This window comes from Homo sapiens, chromosome 10, assembly GCF_000001405.40.
Source record: "Homo sapiens chromosome 10, GRCh38.p14 Primary Assembly".
In the NCBI taxonomy this organism is placed as follows: domain Eukaryota; kingdom Metazoa; phylum Chordata; class Mammalia; order Primates; family Hominidae; genus Homo; species Homo sapiens.
Window position 1 is genome coordinate 73,711,986 of NC_000010.11, and position 26,282 is coordinate 73,738,267.

The 26,282-nt window shown below is 43.3% G+C and overlaps 4 pseudogenes across 5 annotated transcripts in view, besides 2 other annotated features; 2 read left to right on the forward strand and 2 right to left on the reverse strand.

Annotated features, from left to right (window-relative positions):
• Positions 1–18,521, reverse strand: part of BMS1P4-AGAP5 (BMS1P4-AGAP5 readthrough) — a 56,232-nt pseudogene extending 37,711 nt beyond the window's left edge. Inside the window, exons 1-10 of one of the 3 annotated variants that reach the window (NR_160426.1) lie at positions 18,474–18,521; positions 16,394–16,602; positions 15,308–15,497; positions 13,976–14,055; positions 10,404–10,592; positions 9,377–9,519; positions 8,553–8,674; positions 7,175–7,314; positions 6,030–6,180; positions 1,219–1,347 (exon numbers count right to left, since the gene is read on the reverse strand). The product of NR_160426.1 is annotated as a BMS1P4-AGAP5 readthrough, transcript variant 2 (transcript). Of the gene's footprint in view, positions 1–1,218; positions 1,348–6,029; positions 6,181–7,174; positions 7,315–8,552; positions 8,675–9,376; positions 9,520–10,403; positions 10,593–13,975; positions 14,056–15,307; positions 15,498–16,393; positions 16,603–18,332 lie in introns of all 3 variants that reach the window. The other 2 variants (NR_160425.1, NR_160427.1) reach the window with 2 other exon arrangements.
• The window catches only part of BMS1P4 (BMS1 pseudogene 4), a 31,364-nt pseudogene extending 12,835 nt beyond the window's left edge, over positions 1–18,529 (reverse strand). Inside the window, exons 1-10 of the transcript NR_026592.2 lie at positions 18,454–18,529; positions 16,394–16,602; positions 15,308–15,497; positions 13,976–14,055; positions 10,404–10,592; positions 9,377–9,519; positions 8,553–8,674; positions 7,175–7,314; positions 6,030–6,180; positions 1,219–1,347 (exon numbers count right to left, since the gene is read on the reverse strand). The product of NR_026592.2 is annotated as a BMS1 pseudogene 4 (transcript). The remainder of the gene's footprint in view (positions 1–1,218; positions 1,348–6,029; positions 6,181–7,174; positions 7,315–8,552; positions 8,675–9,376; positions 9,520–10,403; positions 10,593–13,975; positions 14,056–15,307; positions 15,498–16,393; positions 16,603–18,453) is intronic.
• Positions 18,318–18,567: an enhancer, noted in NCBI's record as "active region_3568". NCBI's record gives its function as "activates an Ori minimal core promoter by ATAC-STARR-seq in GM12878 lymphoblastoid cells {active_cell/tissue: GM12878}" and the evidence as "EXISTENCE:reporter gene assay evidence [ECO:0000049][PMID:35858748]".
• Positions 18,577–19,786, forward strand: GLUD1P3 (glutamate dehydrogenase 1 pseudogene 3; annotated as a pseudogene). Its single transcript, NR_048575.2, has 2 exons — positions 18,577–18,888; positions 19,203–19,786. The product of NR_048575.2 is annotated as a glutamate dehydrogenase 1 pseudogene 3 (transcript).
• Positions 19,615–23,355, forward strand: DUSP8P5 (dual specificity phosphatase 8 pseudogene 5; annotated as a pseudogene).
• Positions 19,948–20,668: an enhancer, noted in NCBI's record as "H3K4me1 hESC enhancer chr10:75491691-75492411 (GRCh37/hg19 assembly coordinates)". NCBI's record gives its function as "activates a minimal SCP1, AML or CMV promoter by ChIP-STARR-seq in naive H9 embryonic stem cells {active_cell/tissue: H9 hESC(naive)}" and the evidence as "EXISTENCE:reporter gene assay evidence [ECO:0000049][PMID:30033119]".

Sequence of the window (26,282 nt, forward strand, 5' to 3'; positions counted from 1 at the left end):
TTTTTATAGACAATGTCAATAGAAAGGCATTCAATGCAGGGAATACACAGTGTGACAGTATACAAAAATAAGCAGGTTGATGGTTTAGATTTATGAGACAAGAGAAAGAAATAGTAGATGATGCCATAATTCTCCTTTTATGGAGTTATGAAAATTGTTCATTTTATATAAGGTCAGGTGCTTTCAAATGTCAATGAGAAAAATATTCAAAGGAAGAATCAAATCTAAGACATGGAGAGATCTTTATAAAAATGACCTTCAGGCCAGGCACGGTGGCTCACACCTGTAATCCCAACACTTTGGGAGGCCAAGGTGGATGGATCACAAGGTCGGGGGATCGAGACCATCCTGGCCAACATGGTAAAACCCCATCTCTACTAAAACACAAAAAATTAGCCGGGAGTGGTGGTGTGTGCCTGTAGTCCCAGCTACTTGGGAGGCTGAGGCAGGAGAATTGCTTGAACCCGGGAGGCAGAGGTTGCAGTGAGCTGAGAGCACCACTGCACTCCAGCCTGGCAACAGAGCAAGACTCCATCTCAAAAAAAAAAAAAGAAAAAAAATTACCTTCATTCTGAGAAGGTATAATCATCAACACATTCTTGAGCACAACTATGCACATACGCACTTCCAAATTCACAAACCATGCTTGTGCACACACTGATGTCTCTAGATTCCTTTTTTGAAGAGAGGGCAACTTGGTGTGTCACCCAGGCTGGAGAGCAGTGTTAGGATCATAGCTCACTGCAGCCTCAAACTACTGGGGTCACATGATCCTCCTACATCAGGCTCCTCAGTAGCCTGAACTATAGGAATGAGCCACCATGCCCAGCCAATGTTTTCATTTTTTTGTAGAGATGAAATCTTGCTATATTGCCCAGACTGGTCTTGAACTCCTGGCCTCAAGGAATCCTCCTGCCTTGCCCTCCAAACGTGCTGAGATTACAGGTGTGAACCATTGTGCCCAGCAACCGGATTCTTTATTAAGAAGAAAATTTGTTTCCTGACATGTAGGCAATGAATTGATAAATAATAGTTCACAAATTACTAATTTACAAGTCAATATAAATGAGGTGAGTAAACACAAAAATAACAGCATAAATTAACAGTTCATGACTTCACGTTTCTTTTTCTCCTTTAAAATGTAGCTCTGACAGAGACTACTACTTGTCCATTCCATGGAAAAGTCAGAGGTGGTTAAAATGTCAGAGGTACACTTACTAATACTTTGCTGCCTTTTGTGTAGCTTCCTCTCAGTACTTCACCAGTTGGGATTGACACACCTCTACAGCTGGGTTCAGGAGCCAGACAGCAGCACACAGAACGGGGAATCCAAAGCCATCTCTGACACTAAAAGCAATGAAAACAAAAATAACCAAACATATTATCAAGAAATGAACAAGAGATTGATATCAAGTAAAGCAAGAAGAGAAGAAAGCATTTAATCTGCCAGGCTTTCATTCTGACAAAATAATTTACAACATGTATGTCTCTATCTGACATGAGTGAATAGAAAAAGAACCCAAATACCCAGTTGAATTGCAAGATGAAAATGAAAAAGAACTCTTGCTTATTTGCCAGGGTACAATCTAATCTGGGCTACTAAAACACTTTCATGCACTGATTCTATGTAACACATGCTTTATTGCCATTTGGAAATGGGATTTCTTGCTTTGATTTAAATATACTTCCTTGGATTTCTGCTTTAAGTATACTTTCTTAAACATATTCACAGTTACATTCTCAGTACAAATTTTCAGGTGTAAGTAACTACTTCTGCTTTTGATAGACAGTATAATTGGTGAAATAAGCTATACTTCCATGTAAATGTGAGAGTACAAGGTAAGATTCCAGCGTCAAGTAAAACATAACAGTCAAGAAAATAAAAAGGTGAGAGTAACTGGGCAGTGGGGAAATCTTGTGTGTGGAAAGAATGAATCTGTAAAACTGTTCTTTCCTAAGAGAGTTCAGCAGGATTTGGATGATAGAGAGCTTTGTGTACAAGGGTTCCAGTTCCACATAGTTTAGGTCTAATTTCAAAGGCAAATTCTAGTGCAACCTGTGACTCACGCTGTCCTAAAGTGCTGTATGTAAAGGGTCTGGAGATAACCCACAAGCAGCACTGTGAACCCCTGACAGCAAGCCTTTCCAGATAAATACCAGGTCAGTGTCTACAGCTGATGACAGAGCAGAATATCTGAAAAATAATACTTCTTCGGCCAATGGACTGCCAGTCACTATTATTTAGTGTAAAATACTGTATTACATATGTGTAATTTTTTAAATTGCAGTGTTTCACATCGAAGCAATTAAATATAAAAACCAAATGTTTATTCAGCTTAAAGGCAACTTAGAAATACTGATCCCAGATAGAAAGATGCTTTAGTCCCAAGTCCGCTGTTCTAAAATGCCACAACTAAACCAACAAAGGGATCTTGAAGCATAATAAGTGTTCATACCTTTTCAACTATACCTCTGCTTGTCTTGAATATAAAAACCTAAGCTGCAGTTATGCCACAGCACAGAATGTGTTATATTTTACATCACTGAGCCTTAGTTTTACAAATGGTAAAAAATAGGGAAGGTAAACTGAGGTTTTCTTAAGGAGCTGTTACATCCAACAGACTCATGAAAATCTTTGCCAAATGTCCCCGGTACATAGCTCCTCCCCACTGATGGGCTCAACGGGGAGAAGCTATGCACATGTCTCAATTTGCATATGCTCAATGGCAATACAGGATTCCCAGGATAAAGTAAGGGATATAAATGACACAGCACACTGAAAAGACTGTAATGTTACTTCAGAACGTTGCAAAATAAAGATCACAGATGAAAGTTTTAGTTCACTGAAGCATGTAGTCATGTATATTTTTCATTTGTGTGTTTTAAAGTCTTATACTGCTTACATTCTTCTTTTTTGTTTGTTTTAAAATAATTATATTTGGCTACAAAGATCAATAACAAGGATGATGTCAGTCCAGGTTGGACAGGCAGTTCTGGGGCAGATGTTCTTGCAGTGTTCTTTTTTTTTTTTTTTTTTTTTTTTTAGTATTTATTGATCATTCTTGGGTGTTTCTCGGAGAGGGGGATTTGGCAGGGTCATAGGACAATAGTGGAGGGAAGGTCAGCAGATAAACATGTGAACAAGGGTCTCTGGTTTTCCTAGGCAGAGGACCCTGCGGCCTTCCGCAGTTTTTGTGTCCCTGGGTATTTGAGATTAGGGAGTGGTGATGACTCTCAAGGAGCATGCTGCCTTCAAGCATCTGTTTAACAAAGCACATCTTGCACCGCCCTTAATCCACTTAACCCTGAGTGGACACAGCACGTTTCAGAGAGCAAGGGGTTGGGGGTAAGGCCATAGATTAACAGCATCCCAAGGCAGAAGAATTTTTCTTAGTACAGAACAAAATGGAGTCTCCCATGTCTACTTCTTTCTACACAGACACAGCAACAATCTGATTTCTTTTTCCTTTCCCCACACTTCCCCTCCTTCCACTCGACAAAACCGCCATCGTCATCATGGCCCGTTCTCAATGAGCTGCTGGGTACACCTCCCAGACGGGGTGGCGGCCGGGCAGAGGGGCCCCCCCCACATCCCAGACGGGGCAGCCGGGCAGAGGCGCCCCCCACCTCCCTCCTGGAAGGGGCGGCTGGCCAGGTGGGGGCTGCCCCCCGCCTCCCTCCCGGACGGGGCATTATACTGCTTACATTCTTATGTGGGAAAATATATCTTGTTTGGGCTTTCTGGATGAAATATGAACAGGCAAAACTAAAAATAATTTTACAACCCAAATCACCAGATGTTAATGGCTGGTAATTCAACCAGAAATCTGAAAGACAACATCTATTTCACTGTGATATCAGTGACAAGGAAGATTTTATTTGTGGTATTTAAGTGTAGTCCTCTGGAACAAATGACTTGGTTCACAGGCAGCACGCCCACTGCTGAACTGCCATGGCCTGACAGCCTGTCTTATTTGCCAAACTGTTCATTAGGTTTGGCAATCTTCACCTGTGCCTCCAGCTTATATTTCAGCAAATAATACATATCAGTCTGCTTTTGTCATCTTCTGCAGTGAGCTTCCAACACTCCTTTAGCATATGGTGCCCCTGCATCTGCAATCCTTCAAACATACCTTGTATACATGTCATTATTTTTCAACTGTCAATTCAGCTTCCAGCTTGGAGGCTAGCCTAGCTTAAATAAAGCAAAAATACAAGACAGAGAATACGCAAAGTAAGTCCTGCATTGTAAATATTAAGTGGGCTGACCAATCATTTAATTAACATTAAAAAAGAATACATTCACCATACAAATTTAATATTTAAATATTGATTTCAGAGCATATTTTGGAGTGAGGCACAGGTGACAATAGAGCAGAGGATTCCTCTCCCAATTGTCTCTGACCTATCCAACCTTTGTTACAGGTCAGAGAGTTCTCCAACTTATAAATAAACAACAGAGATAATGTGGCAACAAGGACACAGAGACGTACTGAGAGTACTGCTCAGCTCTCTGCCTAGGCCTGATTCTGCTGATCCCTGACAATGAGTGCTGTGAAATTTACAGCAGATCAATACACATACACACAAACACACAAAAGAGATACTTCATGGGCAAAAAGCACCAAAGATATACAATAAAATGTCTGAAAGACCATAAAACAACTTCTGATGAAATGCTGTTTTCATTTTGCAGAAGTAAAATATTCACCACCAACCCTGTAATTAGCTTAAAAATTACACTAAGTACAGTAATTTTGGATCCCATCTCCAATTCATACCTTATCGGCATGTAATAATCACACTGCATCTACAACAAAGCTGGAATAGACTTTATATGCTGAATACAACTTGTACAGTAAGAAGGTAATTTTTTGAAATACTGAGAATACAACATTTGTATGCCACACTCTACTGCACAAGTTAAAAGAAAATACAATCATTTCTATTCTCAAGTGTATTGAAATAAAATACAGAAAAGAGTATTCTAATACCAGTTAACATTAAGAGAATATATCTCTAAACCAAAGATCTTGGATCTTCCAGAAAGACAAAATCAACCTGTATATACTTGGGTAAGAAAAAAAAAATTAAGAGATCAAGAAAGGAGAGAGGATGTTAGCATAGAATCATCTCCAAAAATGGCTTTCCGATGCATTCGACCAGTTTTCAAGTCCATTTGTTTTTCCTCCTTTAGCATCAACAGCCTATATTACCAAGGAAATGCAAAATAATCCAATTTGTACATTAACCAGCTAATCTAGAAATGGCAATACAGTCAATGAAAATACAAAGAAATATAAAAATGTCAAGGAATTGTTTAAGATGTTTAAGATGATACAGCACAGGGAAAAAATGATCTGATAAACACTGGAAGAGTTAAACTCAGGCATGGTTTCCTAACACCACACTTCAAATGAACTTATAGAAAGAATAAAGGAATAATCCTCTAAAAAAAATCTAATTTTAGAAAAAAATTGCTCAAAAGGAAAGTTAGCATTTTGTACATCTTTTGGAAAGCTGATTAATTTCTAAGCTAAATGATGCTTAAGATAATCCTTAAGAGAAATGGCTGAGTCCAGGCCCAAGGCAGAAAGAGGGCAACATAAGCCTGGATACTTTTGTTCTGTGAGAAAGTAAGAAATGCTCAAAGATTAATAGAGACAGTTGAAAGGACACAGGACACAGGCTGAAGGCTCCCACGGTCGAATCTGGGACAGCATAGGCATCAGAAAGAACAATGACAGTGATGGAAAATAACCCATGGAATAAAATGCAAGTGCATTAGTCAGCAGAGATACCGAAATAAAAAGGAGAAGTGAAAGCTCTTTGTTAAAAATGCCAGCTAACAAACGTCGGAGGAATGACAGAGGAAGAACATCCATTTTAAGTCACCAGTGCCATAACTGATAAAGAAGATCATCAAGAGGCTAAAATCACTGCATAAAAGAAAACTATATGAAGCTATTTAACATAGCACGATATATAAAAGTATGAAAACATAAATTAGAAAAAATGAAAAATCGTACCATAGGAGATGAATAAGTTAGAATACAGCAATAATAGGCCAGCCGTAGTGGCTTACACCTGTAATCCCAGGACTTTGGGAGGCCAACGCAGGAGGATTGCTTGAGCCCAGGAGTTCGAGGCCAGCCTGGGCAACATAGTGAGAACTCGTCCCTAGAATAACAACAAAAAAATATTAGATGGGGGTGGTGGTGCACTCCTGTAGTCCCAGCTACTTGCGGGGCTGAAGAGGGAGGATCCACTTGAGCCTGGGAGTTCAAGGCTGCAGTGAGCCAAGATCACGCCACTGCACTCCAGCCTGGGAGACAAAGTGAGATCTTATCTCAAAACAAAACAAAAAAACCACAGTAACAAAAAAAAACACCAGGAACAACAAAATGACAACTACATAAAGACTGTATAGAAAACAAAACGCTCAGAATATAGAAATAAATTATGTATTTTACCTGTAACTATATTAGAAGAGAGTATTCTTGTAGACAAGGATGACCAGAAGGATATGCAAAAATGAAAATAGCTAATAACACTCATTATGTCAGGAACTTTAGTACGTAGTTTGTGCACATTGTAACAAATTACATACTAGATTATCTCAAAATTTTCAGATAAATTTTACTGGGAGTCATAAACTAATACAACAAAACCAATGTTTTGCAAACATCCACTAAGCATAAAGGTATACAAATTCCCAAGAAAGGCTGAAAAATAATTCACATAAGCCACACATCAGTGGAAACCTACCCATAGGAGATAATACAACATAATCTAAATAAAACTTTCAGAGACAAGGCATGTGGCTTCTGGACAGCCACAAACTCCCTGTTTCTGCTCTAGTGTTTTGGCCACCAAAAGAAAGCCAAGTGGCCTCAGGTCTCTTAAAAAACAAAAAAGCAACCTATGGAAGATGGCGTGGTATTTGAGGAATATTTGGGGTCTCTTGAAAAATGCATCCTGTATTTTATTTCAAGAAAAGACTCCCTCATAATGTCAGGTAAGTGAAGAGCCCTCAGAGACACATGCACACACAAAGAAAAACAAAACAACATAGAATGAATCCCACCAAAATGTGTTATGATGGCAGAATTATGGGTGATATGATCTTCTGTAATATATATTTTTATTAAAAATAGAAAAAAAGCAGACTTACCCTTGATTATCTATAGCCTCTGACCCAAGTGGCTTGGAATCAGAAAACAACATCACTCGACTTGAAGCCATCTTGGCATCAATGGTGGAGTGGGTGGAGATGAGACTCTGGACCAGCTCATGGGTGGGCCCCACCTCGTCCTGTCAAGACCACCAAGAAAGGGCACGTGAGGAAAGCACAAAGATCCTGGAGAGACACTGGTTTCACTCAGTTCTCAAAATTATCTTAGACACATTTCCTGAGAACCTTTCTTAATGCCTCAAAAACCAGAGAAGAAAATCCTTATAACAAAGCTTGAAATGGATCCCCATCTCCATTAAACTTTTCCAAACCTCAGTGAGTATACAACCTGATAACCTAAACACCTCGCTAGAAAAATCTCAGTTCCAATCCTACAACAATGCTAGCTTTTCTAACATTTTAAAATAACCCTGATTTTAACCCAATAAAATTCCACTTCAGAACTAAAAATACTGGAAATCCACTTTAAAATAAAGAATGAGGAGACCATTGTGAATGAGAAAAAGAAAAAGACCAATGAGAGCTGGAAAGCACACTGATTTTGTAGAAACGGAGATAAGCCGGGCAGGTGCCACACTGGCAGCAGTGCCCATGCTGGGGCCATGGATCAAGGAGGCATGGAGGACAGGACTCTTCTGCTTGGTACAATGAAAAAATGGTATTCTTTTTATTCTACATATTGACAATATGCATTTGGGCCTCTATTATAAGTACGAGAGAAAAATCTTCAATAAATAAAAGCTGAGTATATTACTTTTTTTAATTAAAAAATAGATTCGGAAAGAATAATGAGAGTTCAGAGCAATGACTCCTGCCTCACTGATGCCTGAAAACCGTGGCTGCCACCAAGGTCAACATAGACAGCGTCTTTGTCATACAGCACACCCCCAACTCCAAAAACAGGCGCATAAACCAGCTGCTCCTTCTTATTTAAACAGCACTTCTTTTGTTGTTCAGTAAGAGCACAAGGGTCTGGGAAGAAACTGATGTCACTCATGGCAAAATCTTCTACCCCTGGAAGACAGGACCCAAAAAGCCAGCTTCAACTGACAAGAAGTCAGTAAGTATCTACTGTTGACTGGGGGGTTAAAAACGATGCACACTCCAAGGGCTTAAACCATGACCCTAAAGAAGGGCATTGTGCCACACTGGAACAGTGGCCCTCTAGCTACAAGACAAGAGGTCAGAGAAGAGGCATTCGGTAACACCTTTGCAGGCCTACACATAGCTGGCTTACTTTTAAAACCTCCACCAAGGCCATCTTCCCTTGTTTGGTCATTTTTCAGTTTTCCTGAGAAATGAAGCCATCCCAAGAATCCTATGTGTGATTCTAGTATGTTCTACAACAAGAGAATACCTGGCATGTGAATTTGGCTTTTATTTTTCAAGTGCGCTCCTCTTAAATAACCGTAAAGTAACATCTGCTGGTCACATCTGATGTTTGTTTGGATATCCTCTGGGTTTGTCAAATCTTCCACCCTAGAAAAATAAACTCAATCATACAGCAGAAATGAATGCCAAAAGTTCCTATACCTCCTTTCATGTGTCAGTGACTCATCACACTCTTGTCCACTAAGCACATTGTTTAGAAAACTAGAAAATACAGAAATAAGGAAGCACCAGAGGAAAAGGGGCAGGCACACAACTGTGTCTCTAGGCTGAAAGTGACATTCATTCCGTAAGACACCAGACAGGGAGATGACGTCCACCTGGGGTCAGAGAAGAGTAAAGAACATATTCAGAAAATCCCTTTCTGGAAGAGGGTGAGCCTGTGCTCTGGGATTTGTACTGTGGCTTGGATTCTGGCAGGTGGAAAAAGGGTATTCCAGGCTGAGAAAACCACAGCACAAAGGAAGGAAACTGAAGGCACACACAAAGGACTCAAGCACCCAGGCACGAAGGCAGCATCACTGAAATCTGAGGCTGAACATAGGATGGGGCCACATCCTGTGGCCTTAAATGCTTCCAAGTCCTCCCACTTTCCTAAACATCTCATAGTTAATTTACTCCCAAAGGCACAGCATCTTTGAGCAATGATATCAGTAGACATTTTCCATCCACTACACTTCTACCCCCACTATTCAAATAGGCACAAAATAAATCCTGTCACTGTTCTTTTTCTAGCCTTTTTAGCTTTGAAATATATGGTCCAGGAATTAAAAGTTTACAATCACTTTTTACCTGTCTGCCAGGATATAAGGATGAGAAGTCTGCCATGTGAGAGGCCTAAACTTCATAACTGTAATAAAATGGCCCAGATTGTGCATTTCTTGGTTTTGATATTCTCCATGCACCATTCCAGAAAGGCAGAACAGCTTGGCAACCTAAACATTAAAGGAAAATTAAAAATTAAATTTCAACTAAATTCTTGTCAATACTGCAACAAAATAAAAGCTCTAAACAAGAAGCAATCCTAAGAAGGGAGACTTCCAGCAAAGCCACTGTCCTGAGGCTTGCAGAGCCTTGCTGGCTTCTTTCAGGACTTATTAGAACCACACAGAGGCAGACTGCTCTGCAGCCGAGCAGGGGCATCCATCTAAGTATGGTGAGGAGAGGGAGGTGAGGCCTCTGAGCACAGAAACGATTCTGTGGCTGATGGACCAGAGCAGTATGGAAAGGAAGGGGCAGTGCCTGGTCCTGTAACTGGGAGAAACTTCTGACGTACTCCATTAAGTCCCAACCCCCAAACACCCAGACACTGCCTGGTGCAGCAGGTACAGAGACAAATGAGATACACCAAGAGGCCCAGAATAACCACTCTTGAGGGAAACCTTCCAGAGACTGGGAACACATACGCAAAGGGAATTCAGGAGGCAAATCCTAGACAGACGTTTAGTAATGTCTCTTCAGTCTGTTTGTTTGTTTGTTTGAGACGGAGTCTCACTCTGTCACCCAGGCTGAAGTGCAGTGGTGCAATCTCAGCTCACTGCACCCTCTGCCTCCCAGCTTCAAGCAATTCTCACGTCTCAGCCTCCAGAGTAGCTGGGATTACAGGTGCGCGCCACCACATATGACTAATTTTTGCATCTTTAGTAGAGACGGGGTTTAGCCACATTGCCCTGAGCTCGAAACTCCTGGCCTCAAGCGATCCACCCACCTCTACCTCCCAAAGTGCTGGGATTACAGGCATGAGCCACTGTGCCCAGCCTCTTCAGTCTATTTTAAAAGGATTATACTGTTAGCATCTAACAATTATTTCTCTTCCTACCAGGTAAACTTCTGTCCAGAACCTGTGTTTTAATCGCTTCTTTGTCTTCTTCAGTTGCTTATTGTGTTTGAAGAAGTCGAGGTGGGTGAGAACTCCCATAATTTTAGGAAAGCCATGTACTTGACAGATGTTTAGAAACTCAAACGTTTCCATTTCAAACCCAAAGCTGGCATCTATAAGCATCAGTACCTACAAGCAGAACACATTATTTCTCAAAGAAACTACCAAAACAGACCACCTACACTAGGGGTTGGCAACTGGCCCATCGACCCAATCCAGCCCATCACCTGTGTTTGTAACTAAAGTTTTATTGGAACATAGCCACATTAATTCATTTACATATCGTCTATGGCCGCCTGTGCACTACAACTGCAGAGCTAAGTAGCTGCAAAAGATATGATCCACAAAGCTGAAAATATCTACTATCTGGCCCTCGACAGAAAAGTCCCACTCCAGACTAAATCAAATGACTACACAGGCATCACCCAGAGAAACCACCACCCTCTGACTTGCTCTAAAAGGCAACCATAAGACAAGGCCACTAGGATATAAACATCCATTTTAAGAATTCTAATGCATGAGAAGTAACTCAGAAAAGGCTGGATCTAACCAGGCCCGTACCTAAGAAATCCTAATTTAAAGAAATGAAGTTTTCTATAATGTATTTTTAAGCCAAATAACAGGTCTCTGACATCCAAAGAATGGGAAGAAAGTGATAATCAATGAAATATATTTAATATGTACAGAAAACCAACCTCTTCTTTCAATGTCCTCACAAAAAAAAAACTTTTTTTGCTGGGAAGTATGCAGTGTATACCTCTATCTTGTATGTTAATTTGTATAACTCAATTGCTCAGGAATTTCTTTAAATAGCTACCAGTTTAGAATTAAGTCAAAAAACAGTAAGATTACGATGAATGGTAGTCTATAAGAAAATATAAGCAGATAAGACCAATTTTTAAAATTAAGACACTTCAAAGATGCAAATTTCAGAATTGATTCCTGGAAACTTCTAGTTTTAATATTAAAGATAGTTCTGTTTTTATCTTTCCATGGATAACTAAAACTAACAAAAAATGGAAACAGAAATGCCCATCTTTGATTAAACTAGGAAACATTCAAAACCCGAAACCACAGAATATATGAAGTTGGGCTTGTAGGAAAGCACAGATGCCTCTGGAAACCGAGGCAGCAAGCAGAGCTCTCCAGCAACAGTGGACCAGCTCAAAGAATAAGTGGAATATCCTCACACCACATCTGATGCCACAGAGTGCCAAGGGGCAAGCAGCTGGTTGTAGGATCAGGAAGAACAGGGAGCAAACAGTCCCTCAGCTGCCAATCTTTGTCATCTAAGCCAGTGTTACTCCCATAATCCACACACACACACACGTACACACCCAAATCCACATATCGTTTGTGCCTTTGCTGTACTCAGGAGGCTTTGAAAACCCAGAGCAGAGCAATCAACATAAGCTAAGCTAAATAAATTATGGTGCGTCCACAGAATGGAATATTATATTAAAAAGAAGGAGGCAGAGCTACAGTACTTACTGATTATATACCTCCAAGATATATTACATGAAAAAAGCAAAGCATAGAACAGCGTGTAAAATAAGCTACCATTTGTGTTTTTAAAGGGTGGCATGTGTGTTTATATGTATCTGGAAGGATACTGCTCTGCAGGGACCTGAGAGACCAGCCTTAGAGCAAGGAAAAAGAAAATGTGCATTGTGTATACCCTGCATTACAGTTAGAGTGCTTTACCAAATGTGTGTGCTCCTTTTGAAAATCTTAAAAAGATTTACATAGGCATCTCTCTCAATGATGGTTAAGAGACTGGGAAGGGGAGCAGGGAGGGAGGGAAAAAGAGGGAAAGGTTAACAGGTACAAAAATACAGTTAGAATAAATTCTAGTGTCCAACAGCACAATAGGGTGACTATAATTTATTATATAATTCAGAACTAAAAGAATGAAATTGAAATGTTCCCAACACAAAAAAATGATAAATGTTTGAAGTGACGGACATCTGAATTACCTTGATTTGATCATCACACATTGTATGCTTCTATCAAAATACTACATGTACCCCATAAATATGTACAACTATTATGTATCCATAATAACTAAAAATAAAAAAAAGTAAAGGCATCTCTTAATATGTCTTTAAAATTAGAAACTTGCTACATCTTAAATAAAAGAGAAACAAATGACTTCTATGAACTATTCAATCATTTCAAGTATACAAGATTTAGTAATCCTTACACAACTTTACATTAATAACACTTATTTTTACTAATAGTAGCATTACATGTTCAAAATTTGAATGTTATTTAGTTTTCTGACATTACAGACATTACAATGGCACGACTTTAAAATCTGTATTACCTTTTACTTTATATTTTAGGAGTCTTCCTGGGCCAAAGTATGAAATCTGTAGCTCTAGAAAAAACTAAATAAAAATGAAAAAACCAAGGTATCTGTCATCCCACACTTCCTAATCAATATGGCTTATTTTTTGCTTTTTTTTTTTTTTTTTTTTGAGATGGAATTTCGCTCTTGTTGCCCAGGCTGGAGTGCAATGGCGGGATCTCGACTCACCACAACCTCCGCCTCCCGGGTTGAAGCAATTCTCCTGTCTCAGCCTCCTAAGTAGCTGAGGTTATAGGCATGAGCCACCTCACCCAGCTAATTTTGCATTTTTAGTAGAGACGGGGTTTCTGCATGTTGGTCAGGCTGGTCTCAAACTCCCAACCTCAGGTGATCTGCCCACTTCAGCCTCCTAAAGTGCTGGGATTACAGGCATGAGCCACTGCGTCTGGCCTTTTTCTTTCTTTCTTTTTTTTTTTTGGTAATTTGTATTTTATTTTAGTTAATTTAAAAGATAGTTTAAAAAAAAGATAGTTAATAGAATATCAGAAATAGTGAACATTATCATTTCCATAAATGCAAGAGCGTGTACATTTTTCCACACACTGAGTACTATCTAGATTTTCTATGATAAACTCTGACCACTTCTTCAGGCAATTCATGTACTTACTTATTATCACTAAGGATAAAGGTTCTAGAACCATTAGGAACAAGGGTCCCATCTTCACACAAGTTACTTAACTGCTGGGAGGCTCTATTTCATCTTATGTAAACTACAGATAATACCTACTCACCTCAAGGGTGTATCAAGGGTTTATGTAAGCTAAATTTGTAGAAAGCAGTTAGCACAGTGCCAGGAAGGGTCCAAGAAGAAATGGTACTTACTATGATATATTTGTAGGTATATATGTATGCATGTTAATGAGTTCTTATTAGCTGTGTTCATTAAAGGTTTTCTCTATCCTGTGATTTGCTTTTAGATTTTGGAATACATTTTATTGTACACATTCCATTTGTATTATTAATATAACAACATTTATTACTATTATTATTATCATCAATTCAATCACATCTATTGTATCCTTGATGATGACCATGATTCCTTTAATAATCATAAAACTCTATTCCCTTCATCACGGGGTAAATAACCTATCACAATGCTGTAAGTCTCCATCAGCACCCCAGGCTGCCCCTGCTCACTTACCAGATCTGCTACTTCAGCCAGATCAATCATCATGTTAATGTCACACCCACATTCAATAATGGTGAGTCGGAGCTTTTTACCTATAAGTGAAAAGATGAAAATTTTACTTTAAAAAGACCCTGAAAAAACTCTAAGCATCAACTCTAACTTTCATTTTTTACCTGTATCCAGTAAAACACCATATACGTTTACAGGAGTGTACGAGAAGTTCACATTTACCGGTAAAATAAAATAAATTCCATCCTGTTTTTCTTGCTGTGTTCTAAATTTAAATAATATCCAAAGTCTACCCAGATGAATACAAGTGCTTAAACAGGGAAAATTCTGACTGGACAGGCTCCATGATAACCATGATCCTGCTGTTCAGCTGTAGGCCAATGTCTTTGCCTCTATCAAAACTTCCCATATTCCCACTATCACTAAAAACATCCTCAAACATTATCCAACAGAATATTCATAACGATAATCATTTCTAAATTAAGGTAAAAAGAAAACAGTCAAGAAAATATGGGCAGGGCACAGTGGCTCACGCCTGTAGTCCCAGCACCTTGGGAGGCCAAGGCAGGTGGATCCCTTGAGCCCAGGAGTTTTGAGACCAGCCTGGCCACATGGGGAAACCCCATCTCTACAAAAACAAAAAAGAAAGGAAAAAAAAAAGAAAAATTAGCCAGGCGTGGTGGCATCCACTACTCAGGAGGCTAAAGTAGGCGGATTGCTTGAGCCTGGGTGGTTGAGGCTACAGTGAGCTGTAATCACGCCAGTGCATTCCAGCCTGTGCCACAGAGTAAGACTGTCTCAAAAAAGAAAATATGGATGCTCCAAAGATAAAGAAAAGCCTCAATCCAACTATATTATTGCAATAACAAGAGACTTGAGTGTACATTGGCATTCTACCACTGGAAGTTTGTTTCATCTTTCCTCAAACTTGGAAAGGTCACCATCTCCCAAAGCAGACAAATTCTCACAGGAAAAAGAGAAAACGCGCACTTCCACTAGCATGTGGCTTCATAAGGGCAAGGATGTGCATGCACCTGGCACATAGGAGGTACGTGCTGTCTGTTAAATGATATGTTCACAGTGACCAGGCCTGCTACCCTCTTCCAAGGAACATGCTTGGCAAAGCCATAGAGCACTCAGGATAAGATATGTATCACATCCTTATCTCTGGGAACTTACCCTTTTCTGAAGTTATAGCTAACTTAGTAAAGTATAAGAGAGGTAACATGATATGACAAAATTTAACATGTTCCACTCAAGAAAGCAACAAACACATGCATGTCCCTCAGATGACAATAGCCACGCCAACTCTGTGTCTGTGGCAGCATCTCCTACCTGACACGATCATCACAGGGCCTCTGATCTCGGTCAACTTCTGCCGGGTGAAGTTCCGAATGAGGCATTGTATCAAAGTGCTCTTTCCAACTTTGGAGGCCCCATCACCACTACCACTATTGGTGGGGGCTCTAGTGGAGTTCGATCAACCACTGGAATATGATGCTTTTTTGTCTTCAAATCCTGAGTCCTATTCATTAAAAAAAAGAAAAAAGTAAACTCACTTTCAAAATAGAGAAAAAGGTATCAACCTTATAAGTAGAATTTTCTTAGTATACTTATAGATATGAGTACTTTAGTATATTTTATAGAGTACAACAGACAATATATAAATATAATGAACTTGTCAATTATTAACTTAACTTCTCACCCCCATCCAAATAATTGCTGTTGGATAAAGATGTAACAAGACGACTTCAATAGTATATAGAGTTGAAAACTGAACACACCTTAAATCTGACTGTTTTATGGGTGATTTGAATAGTTTTTTAAAAACCAAAAGGTAAATACCAAGGCAGTGCATCATAATGGATAAGAGCAGAGGCTCTGGAGTTAAATTTGGCTCTCCTACTTACTGGTTATATTATTGGAGGTAACTTGTTTTCTTGACCTCAGTTTTCTTGTCCATAAAATGAGGGCAAGAATGATTCCTACTCTGGTAAGGCTGCTGGAAGGATTTAGTTGAATAACGTTTAAAGTACACTGCTAAGAATATCACAAGGACTCACTAAATAAAGCTATGTTAGTAATAAATATTGTAATTTTTGTATTTTATATTACAACTTTGTAAAACGTATCCAGAGGGAAAAAGCACACTTATCACCATAGAAACAGTTTAAAGTTTAGGAGGAAACAAATTCTATAAATTCTTGTATCTTGGGCAAGAAACACCAACCAGTGTGCAGATGCTGGAGGCAAGGCAGCTTCTATAGCAAAGCCTCTCATGTTTTGGTAAAAGCCACACAGCATGCATCTCCATGTCCTTTGGAGCTGGACTAGACTTGTGAATCCAAATGTCACCTGTGAGAGGCTCCTACTATTTAAAAAGAATCAATGGAAGAAGCATCAGACTGTAGCTAAACATACCTGTGAAAGGATCGAGCCATCCACACAGCAGACTGAAATGCAAAAGCTTTGGGATTTCTCTTCCAGGCATCTTCTTCGTCTCCTAGCTGGAGATCCTGCAGATGCCGCTTCTTTTTCTTTGCAGCTTTGGGTCCACTATTTTTCTTTCTTTGTTTCTTCTGGTCCTTAGTCTCCATAGTGGCTATTTACCAATAACAAGTAATTCTAATCTACAAGGAAGAAGGTTGGGGTAAGGAGGTGGGAGAAGCATTTTACAATCCAGGCAATACCCAGGGCAAAAACATTAAATTTTATTTATTTCTTTATGAAGAGATGATATATTTGTTCACTGAACAAGGGTAGAAACTGCTTAACCCTCCCCAATTTCATTTATCTCTGTTATGCTATAAATTAGATGAGTTACCTCTGCTAAGGGTACATTTTATGGTTAAGTTACTTTTTATTCATCTTAAGTGTCAACATCAGCAGTATCCATTTCTGCAAGGATGGAAACATTCTATATCTGTACTTTTCAGCCATTTAGCCATTAGCCACATGTGGTTACTTAAAATGTACTTAGAGAAACTGAAAAAATGAATTTTTAATTAATTTTATTCCAACTCTAAATAGTCACATGTGGCTACCATACTGGACAGCTCAGACCTAGATATCAACTGGACTAATGAAGTGGTTTCCTAACTTAAACTAAAACTTAAATTTTAATAAAAAATTTAAAATGCTTTTATGAACTTCCAACATGATCACAGTATTACTTTTAGTACCTGTTGACTCTGCAAAACTCCTAAATTACAACTCTTCTACATACATTTGAAAAATAGCAATATCTAGAGGCCGGGCACGGTGGCTCACGCCTGTAATCCCAGCACTTTGGGAGGCCGAGGCGGGTGGATCACGAGGTCAGGAGATCGAGACCATCCTGGCTAACACGGTGAAACCCCGTCTCTACTAAAAATATAAAAAAAAAATTAGCTGGGCGTAGTGGCGGGCGCCTGTAGTCCCAGCTACTCGGGAGGCTGAGGCAGGAGACTGGCGTGAACCCCGGAGGCGGAGCTTGCAGCGAGCCAAGATTGCGCCACTGCATTCCAGCCTGGGCGACAGAGCGAGACTCCGTCTCAAAAAAAAAAAAAAAAAAAAAAAAAAAAAAAAAAAAAAAAAGAAAGAAAAATAGCAATATCTGTATGTGTGAGACATGACTAGTTCTAGATGATGCCTGGAGACCCCATGGACTTACAGAGACCCTTCCAGTGATTTCTGAGGTACCTGGGAATCTGTGGCCAATAAATTGGTAATCACTGAATTAGTGAGTTTTTTAAGGATATCCAGCTGCATAAAATCTGACAGCTTGATTGGAAAAAAGCGGGGCAGGGTGCCATTTCATTCAATTAAGGTCCTGTATTCATTCCGTTTAGTAAATGTTTGTGTCTGTCTATGATGTGCTAGCCACTGTGCCAGTAAATGGATATAGCTATGATCTGACTTGCAGAGGAAATCCAAACTAGTATCTTCCGTGCCATGCAATAAGGGCTACATTGCAAGGCTGCACAGGGTGCTACTGGGGCACAGAAGTGAGTCAGAGGCTTCCCACAGACACACACACGAGCGGAAACAGAAAGTCTTTATATATCACCATATGTCAAGGAACACTGGCCGGGAGTTAGGAGAGCTGGGCACTAGGAACGCTTTGAAACCGAACAGCTGTGTGATTTCCGAGGTTATGTTGCTTCTCTACTATATTTTAGTTCCGAACTTGTACTAATGTTTCTCTCCCTTTTCTTCTTGGTGGGAAAAGCACAATTTGGGGTCAACAGATTCGGCTCAGGTCTAAGTCGCCGGCCGGGACCACGTCGCCAGGAAACGACGTCTCCCCGACACCTTCCCTCCCCGTCCGGGCTCTCTGCAGCAATTCATCCCGTCACTCTCCCAACGACCCCGGGCACACCTCCGGCAGATGCGAAATATGCTGCTCCTCAGGAGGAAAGATGACCCGGAGGACCGCGGGAGGACCTTCCCACTCGCGATCTTCCCAGTGCCCCAAAGCCAGGGACCCCACTGCCGCCTACCCCAGCCCGCGGCACCGAACTTGCTCACAACTGTGACTCCTCAGGTCGGATTGGACACCACCGGAAACGGAAATTCACCGTCGCGCCGACTCTCCGGAGGGAAACAAAAAGGCAGAAAAAAGAGACCGGCGCCTGGACGACTTTCAGGGGAGAGCTGGAAGAAAGACTGTCAACAGCTGAGTGCGGGCGCCGGCGCCGTCTACGCAGTGCGTTCCACCGGGTCCGTATCCCTCCCGATTCCGCCCCACCCCGCCCTCGGAACTCGCTGCCTCAACTCCTGCGGTGGGACTCCGGAGCAGCGTACACCGCCCTTGCCTTAGTCCTCCCCAAGGCCAGGGCAGCTGTGCGGCCTGGCGCGGGTTACTTGGTGTGGTGCAAAAAGCCAGAAGGAGACACATTTGGTCCTGGCCACCCCGGAGTCACCCAAACCAAAAGGTAAAAGGAACATAAAAAAGCCTTCTGGAAAGTGTAAAAAAATTCATTGCACAGTGATTTTTGTCTTGTGAAATCATAGTTACTGTTATTAGCAGTTTTTTAAACGTTTTATATTCATTTTTTATGGTGTTCTGACATATGAGCTGCTTCAAGTGTTTTTGGACATAGCTTGGGTGTAAAATGTAAAAAGTGGATATTTTCAATTTGTAGCTTTCTTTTTTGAAACTTACTGAAGTTTGTTCTAAATATATCCCCTTCTTTCTCACCTACCCCAACACATTTTTAAAAAAAACACCACCAAATATCCATTACAGCATTGATGTGAGTGTAGATGAAGTAAAAACTTTGGCTTCCCTGATGACATACAAGTGTGCAGTGGTTGGTAAGTGATCGCCTTTCTTGCTACCTAATGAGAACTCTGGGGAAATATGTTTACTCACATGGTTACTGTTAAGATGCTATAGAAATATACCTTATCAGAACTGATTTTTTTTAAGTTGTCCTCTTTAAGACCTGCATCATTTTTCAATTAGTCTAAATTAATATATAGCCTTTTTTTATGTGAGGGATTTTTTTTATAGGAGCTTATTGAATTTTAAGTCTAGATCTTTGTTTTCAATTCCTCAACATATTCTATAAATAAGACCAAATTATAGTAGAAGGATAGTAAATAAGCTATTATCTTTTAGAAGTTGTAAAGAGCACTGATTAACTCTATATTAGAGACCCCGCCCCTGCCTTGGCTGCGCGGGCCCCCGCCAAAGGGCCCATGGTCGGCGCAGCCGAGCTGGCGAGGGCAGCGCGGGTCCCCCGGAACGCCCCCCGAGGCGAGCGCTAACGAGGTCCGGCACCATGTGCTAGGTCACTCCCAGTGCAAGGCCACACTTGGGCCATCCGAGCAACCCCTCCTCACGTCAGGGGTCACCCTCCCCACCACCCATTGCCCCACCATGGCCGGAGACCGGCTCCCGAGGAAGATGATGGACGCCAAGAAGCTGGCCAGCCTGCTGCGGGGCGGGCCTAGGGTGCCTGGTCATCTACAGCCGCTCCTTCCTGGAGTACAACAGCTGGCATGTGCTCAGCTCCGTCAACATCTGCTGCTCCAAGCTGGTGAAGTGCCGGCTGCAGAAGGGCAAGGTGACCATTGCAGAGTTCATCTGGCTGGCCACACGCAGCCAAATGGAGGCCACTGAGCCACAGGATATGGTGGTCTATGACCAGAGCACACGGGACGCCAGTGTGCTGGCCGCAGACCGCTTCCTCTCCATCCTGCTGAGCAAGCTGGACAGCTGCTTCGACAGCGTGGCCATCCTCACGGGGGGCTTCGCCACCTTCTCCTCCTGCTTCCCCAGCCTCTGCCAGGGCAAGCCTGCTGCCCTGCTACCCATGAGCCTCTCCCAGCCCTGCCTGCCCGTGCCTAGCGTGAGCCTGACCCTCATCCTGCCTCACCTCTACCTGGGCTCGCAGAAAGACGTTCTGAACAAGGATCTGACGACACAGAATGGAATAAGCTACGTCCTCAATGCCAGCAACTCCTGCCCCAAGCCTGACTTCATCTGCGAGAGCCGCTTCATGCGGGTCCCCATCAACGACAACTACTGTGAAAAGCTGCTGCCCTGGCTGGACAAGTCTATGGAGTTCATCTGTAAAGGCAAGCTGTCCAGCTGCCAAGTCATCGTCCACTGTCTGGTCGGTATCTCCCACTCTGCCACCATCGCCATCGCCTACATCATGAAGACCATGGGCATATCCTCCGACGACACCTACAGGTTCATGAAGGATAGGCGCCAGTCCATCTCGCCCAACTTCAACTTCCTGGGCCAGCTGCTGGAGTAGGAGCGCAGCCTGAAGCTGCTGGCCACCGTGCAGGGGGATGCGGGCACCCCCTCAGGGACGCCGGAGCCTCCGCCCAGCCCTGCGGCTGGGGCCCGGCTGCCATGGCTGCCACCACCTACCTCAGAAAGCGCTGCCACCGGGAGTGCAGCTGCCAGGGAGGGCGGCCTGAGCGCGGGCGGGGAGCCCCCACTGCCCCCCACGCCCCCAGACACCTGCGCGCTGCAGCAGGGCTGCGCGGCCTGTACTCTCCTCTGACCGCCTGCAGGACACCAACCGCCTCAAGCGCTCCTTCTCGCTGTACATCAAATCAGCGAACACCCCCGGCCGGCGGCCCAACGGCCCCGGGTCACCCGACCCCGGCGAGGTCCCAAAGCTCTGCAAGCTGCACGGCCCGTCGGAGCCACGCTGAGCCTACCTTCGCCCAGCCCCGACAGCCCGGATGCCGCGCGCCCACGGCCCTGCGGGCGGCCCAGGCCCCCAGCCGGCTCCCCGCTCCCCCGCGCACAGCCTCGGCCTCTCGGCCCTGTCGGCGCCCAGGCTGCCCGGCCCTGGCCAGCCGGCCCCGGAGTCTGGGCGCCACCGCTTGACTCCCCGGGCACGCCGTCGCCCGACGGGCCCTAGTGCTTCAGCCCCGAGGGCGCGCAGGGGGCGGGCGGGGTGCTGTTCGCGCCCTTTGGCCAGGCGGGCGCCCCGAGACGGGGCGGCGGCAGCGACCTGCGGCGGCCGGAGGCAGCAAGGGCTGAGCCCCGGGACGCGCGGACCAACTGGCCCGACGAGCCGCCCCGGAGACGGAGACGCAGATCAAGCGCTGCAGCTGCCAGATGGAGTTCGAGGAGGGCATCCTGGAGGGGCGCACTCGCGGCGAGGAGCTGGCCGCCATGGGCAAGCAGGCGAGCTTCTCGGGCAGCGTGGAGGTCATCGAGATGTCCTGACCCCTCCGCTGCCCTTAGCTCCGCTGCCCACAGCCAGACCCGTTATAAATATATATTATATATAATGCAAAGAAAGGTAAATGGTTTTACTTTTATTTTTATTGAGAAGTAAATATTTCTATTTTTTATTTATTTAAGCTATTCATTCTGGCAATGATTTGGCAACAGTGCAGGTGGTCCTCGAGCTCTATTTTTACTGTCTGGTATTTAAACTGAAACATACCTTTCTAAGCAATACGAGGCCACCTTCAGTCGCAAGGTGGGTGCCAGGCCTGGTGCCCCTCCCAGTTCCCCCACCCCAGGAAACACTGCTGACACTTGCAAAGGCTGCCGAGCTTTTGTGCACTTTTTACATAAGAAAAAGGATTAAAAAAGGAAAAAAAAAAAGCTTATTTGCCACAAACAGCCGCGGACCCCCCCCCCCACCTTCTTCCTCCCTTCAGGCTCTGCCCCAAAGCCATAGGTTGGGGGAGCAGGAGCTGGTGTGCCAGAGAGATGCGGCCAGCCCTCCACCAGCTCCAGGCACCAAATCTTGGTGGCAGGGAGGGCACCCCGCTGCCCGTTGCCCCAGAGCTGTTCCTTCTCAAGGGAGGACAGGCATTGGGCCCCATGGTGCCAGGACGTTGAGAGGGGCTGAGGAATAGAACAGAGTGTGTAGGGGCTTGGGGCAGGGGGTTCTGGAGCGTCAGATGAGGTGGAGCCCAGGGGAGGATGGGGGTGTTGTTAATGTCCCCAACTCCTGCCAGAGCCCCAGTCCAGCCACTGGTGGCTCAGAAAGGCCATTCCCAGAGGGCTGCGGCCCTCCCTTCTCCTTTGACCCTGCCCCCAGAACTACCTGCCAGGCAGGACGGCACCAGTGCAGGAGAGGAGCTTGGCCTCCGGGGGTGACGCAGGAGTGGGGCCTGGCTAGCCTGTGCTGGCTCCACTGGGCGGGGAGCCCTGGACCGCCAGGTATGCGGAGGGGGTGGGCTTAGGGTCCTGTTCCAGGTCCGTCCCCCACCTAGCAAGTCCCCAGGCAGGACTTGGAAACCAGGTGTGCACCAGCAGGCTAAGGGGCTCCAAGAGCAGGTGCTGCTTCGCACAGGAAGTTCAGGCGCCAGCCAAGTCCCTGTGCTTCTGGGGTAGGCCTGCTTCACTTAGGGAGCGCTGCCCTCAAGGCAGATAAAGCCCTCTCCTTTGCCCCGACCTGCATGGGGGCTTCTCAGGAGAGAAACTCCCGTGTGCCCCTTTCCCAGGGCACTCTCTCTAGACAGCATGCCGGCCCCCAAACACAGGTGGCTTTTGGGCCCAGGTGGGTCAGCCTGCTGCCCCTGGCCCATACCCTCTCAGGCCATTGGGACCCCTGCCCTTCAGATGTTCTAGGGTCTAGGAGTGGACCAGTCACCCTGGGAAGAGGCCAGGGCCTTGGCAGGAGGGGTGGCCCAGGCAGGACCCAGTCCTGAGTCCTGGAGCAAGGCCAGGGAGGCGCCCACCCCACCCCGGCCAGCTGCCCTCTCTGCTGTTTGTTCTATTTGTTCTTCTTTTCACCCATAGCCTTGTGTTCCTGTCATCCCTCCTTTCAGCAAAAGTCCTTTTCCCATTCCCTCTGTCCCCACCAACTGCTGTTCCCCAAGAAAATAAGCTATCATTGTATTTGCAATCTATGGATTAGAGGTTGAAGTATTTATTATTATTGGTTAATTATTATTAATTATATAAAATATATATATTAGAACTTGGCTAGCCAATTTTATTGAACAATTTCTGTTCAATAAAATGTTGTTTAAAGTACAGTTTAGAAAACTATGGTAGGTTTATTTCTTGAACTTTCAGAAATTCAAGCTTAAAGCATCACACGTTTTTCTAATATTGTGTGGCATTTTCTGTCATTTTACTTTTTTAACCTTTATATGGAATAACAACCATCAGCCTTGTCTTTCAGATGTGCCATTTGGGGGTGCTAAAGCTGGTGTTAAGATCAATCCCAAGAACTATACTGTAAATATGAGAGTGATACTTGTTTTTTTTTGTTGTTGTTTTTGTTTTTCTGAGACAGAGTCTTGCTCTGTCGCCCAGGCTGGAGTGCAATGGTGCAATCTCGGCTCACTGCAACTTCCGTCTCCCGGATTCAAGCGATTCTCCTTGATTCAGTAACTAGGATTACAGGTGCATGCCACCATGCCCAACTAATTTTTGTATTTTTAGTAGGGGAGGCGGTATCAGCATGTTGGCCAGGCTGGTCTTGAACTCCTGACCTCAGGTGATCTGCCCGCCTTGGCCTCCCAGAGTGCTGGGATTACAGGCATGAGCCACCGCACCCGGCCTCAAAGTGATATTTGTGCACACAGTGCATTTATGAAGGACTTGAAATTACTGGGCTTCTCTGTATCCCCCATATCAGTGAGATCAATGGTCCCCATTGCTTTTCAAATGGAATGAAAAAAGTAAAGAATTAACTCATTGAGTGTTTTGCCATATAAAGGTCACCTACTTAATATCTATATCCTTTATCATTTTGTTTTGTTTGGTTTTGTTTTTATGAGTCTTGTATTATTTTTTTGCTTTTTGTATTATTATGTTCTTACTTATTAAAAAGGTAATTAATATTTTCATATTGTTAGACACTTAAACCCATATTTAAGAATTACTGTGATCTAATTAATCAGGCGTAGTGGTGCGCACCTGTAATCCCAGCTACTTGGGAGGCTCAGGCATGAGAATTGCTTGAACTCAGGAGGCAGAGGTTGCAGTGAGCCGAGATTTCACTGCTGTACTCCACCCTCGGCAACAGAGAAAGACTCTGTCTCAAAAAGAAAAAAAGTATTACTGTGATCTGAAGTTTTTAAGTCAGGATTTCATTCTAGACAAATATCTTAACTAAGCCTATAAAAACCTTACTTTTTATCCTGTCAGTTCCAAGCAAATTCAAACTGGTTGTCACAATGCTTTACATAATACTAAATTATCTGTATACAAACATAAACGCGTATGATTTTTATTCTCTTTAAAATTCACCATTTACATGGAATATAATTATATTTCAATTAATCTTAATTAAGATTTAGTAGGCCAGGCGTGGTGGCTCACGCCTGTAATCCCAGCACTTTGGGAGGCCAAGGCGGGCAGATCACGAGGTCAGGAGATCGAGACCATCCTGGCTAACATGGTGAAACCCCGTCTGTACTAAAAAATACAAAAAAAAAAAAGTACCTGGGTGTGGTGGCGGGCACCTGTAGTCCCAGCTGCTCGGGAGGCTGAGGCAAGAGAATGGCGTGAACCCGGGAGGCGGAGCTTGCAGTGAGCCGAGATCGCGCCACTGCACTCCAGCCTGGGCGAGAGAGCAAGACTCCATCTCAAAAAAAAAAAAAAAAAAAAAGACTTAGTATATTTTTCAGTGGGGAATTAATAGAATGGGAATTTGAGTCCTAGTTCTACTATCCTGTTTTTATAATCTACTTTTTTGATCCCTTATTTCCTCACCTTTAAAATGGCAATGCCTACTTTATGAGTTGTTCTAAGGATTACAAGAGAAGACATATGAGAATGTACTATAAATAGAAAATAAGATGCTAGCTATAATCTCAAGCGATTTTTATATCTTATTTTTATTGTTTTCTTATTTTACAGGATAATGAATTGGAAAAGATCACAAGGAGGTTCACCATGGAGCTAGCAAAGAAGGGCTTTATTGTGTGGCCACATAGATTTTGGTATAAAGTGGGAACATCTAAAAAAATCTTTTTTTTTTTTTTTTGAGACAGAGTCTTGCTCTGTCGCCAAGATTGGAGTGTAGTGGTGCGATCTCCTCCACCTCCCGGGTTCAAGCAATTCTCTTGTCTAAGCCTCCCGAGTAGCTGAGACTATAGGCATGTGCCACCATGCCCAGCTAATTTTCGTATTTTTATAGAGATGGGGTTTTGCCATGTTGATCAGGCTGGTCTTGAACTCTTGACCTCAGGTGATCCACCCATCTCAGAATCCCAAAGTGCTGGGATTACAGGCGTGAGCCACTATGCCCGGCCTCCTACTATTTGTAATAGGAGATAGGGTCAGATAAGGGAATAAAAGCAGGCTGCCCCAGCCAGGGGCAGCAACCAGCTCAGGTCCCCTTCCACACTGTGGAGGCTTTGTTTTTTTGCGCTTTGCAATAAATCTTGCTGCTGCTCACTCTTTGGGTCCGCACTGCCTTTATGAGCTCTAACACTCATCGCGAAGGTCTGCAGCTTCATTCTTGAAGTCAGTGAGACGAAGAACCCACCAATTCCGGACACAGAAGTGTCTTCATTTAAAAAAATTTTTTAAGTGCACTGAAAAAGCATCACATATTCTAGCCTCGTAATAATGCTCCCTTTTTGGAGATCCCAGGAATCAGTGTGGGCTCTGCCCAGAGCTCAGAGATCTAGTAAAAAGACAGATAGTTCCTATATAAATAAAATTGGTCTCCTCATATAATCCTATGATAGATTTTTTTTTTTTTTTTTTTTTGGAGACAGAGTTTTCGCTCTTGCTGCCCAGGCTGGGTGATCTTGGCTCACTGCAACCTGCACCTCCCGGGTTCAAGTGATTCTCCTGCCTTAGTCTCCTGAGTAGCTAGGACTACAGGCACCCACCACTGCACCAGGCTAATTTTTGTATTTTTAGTAGAGA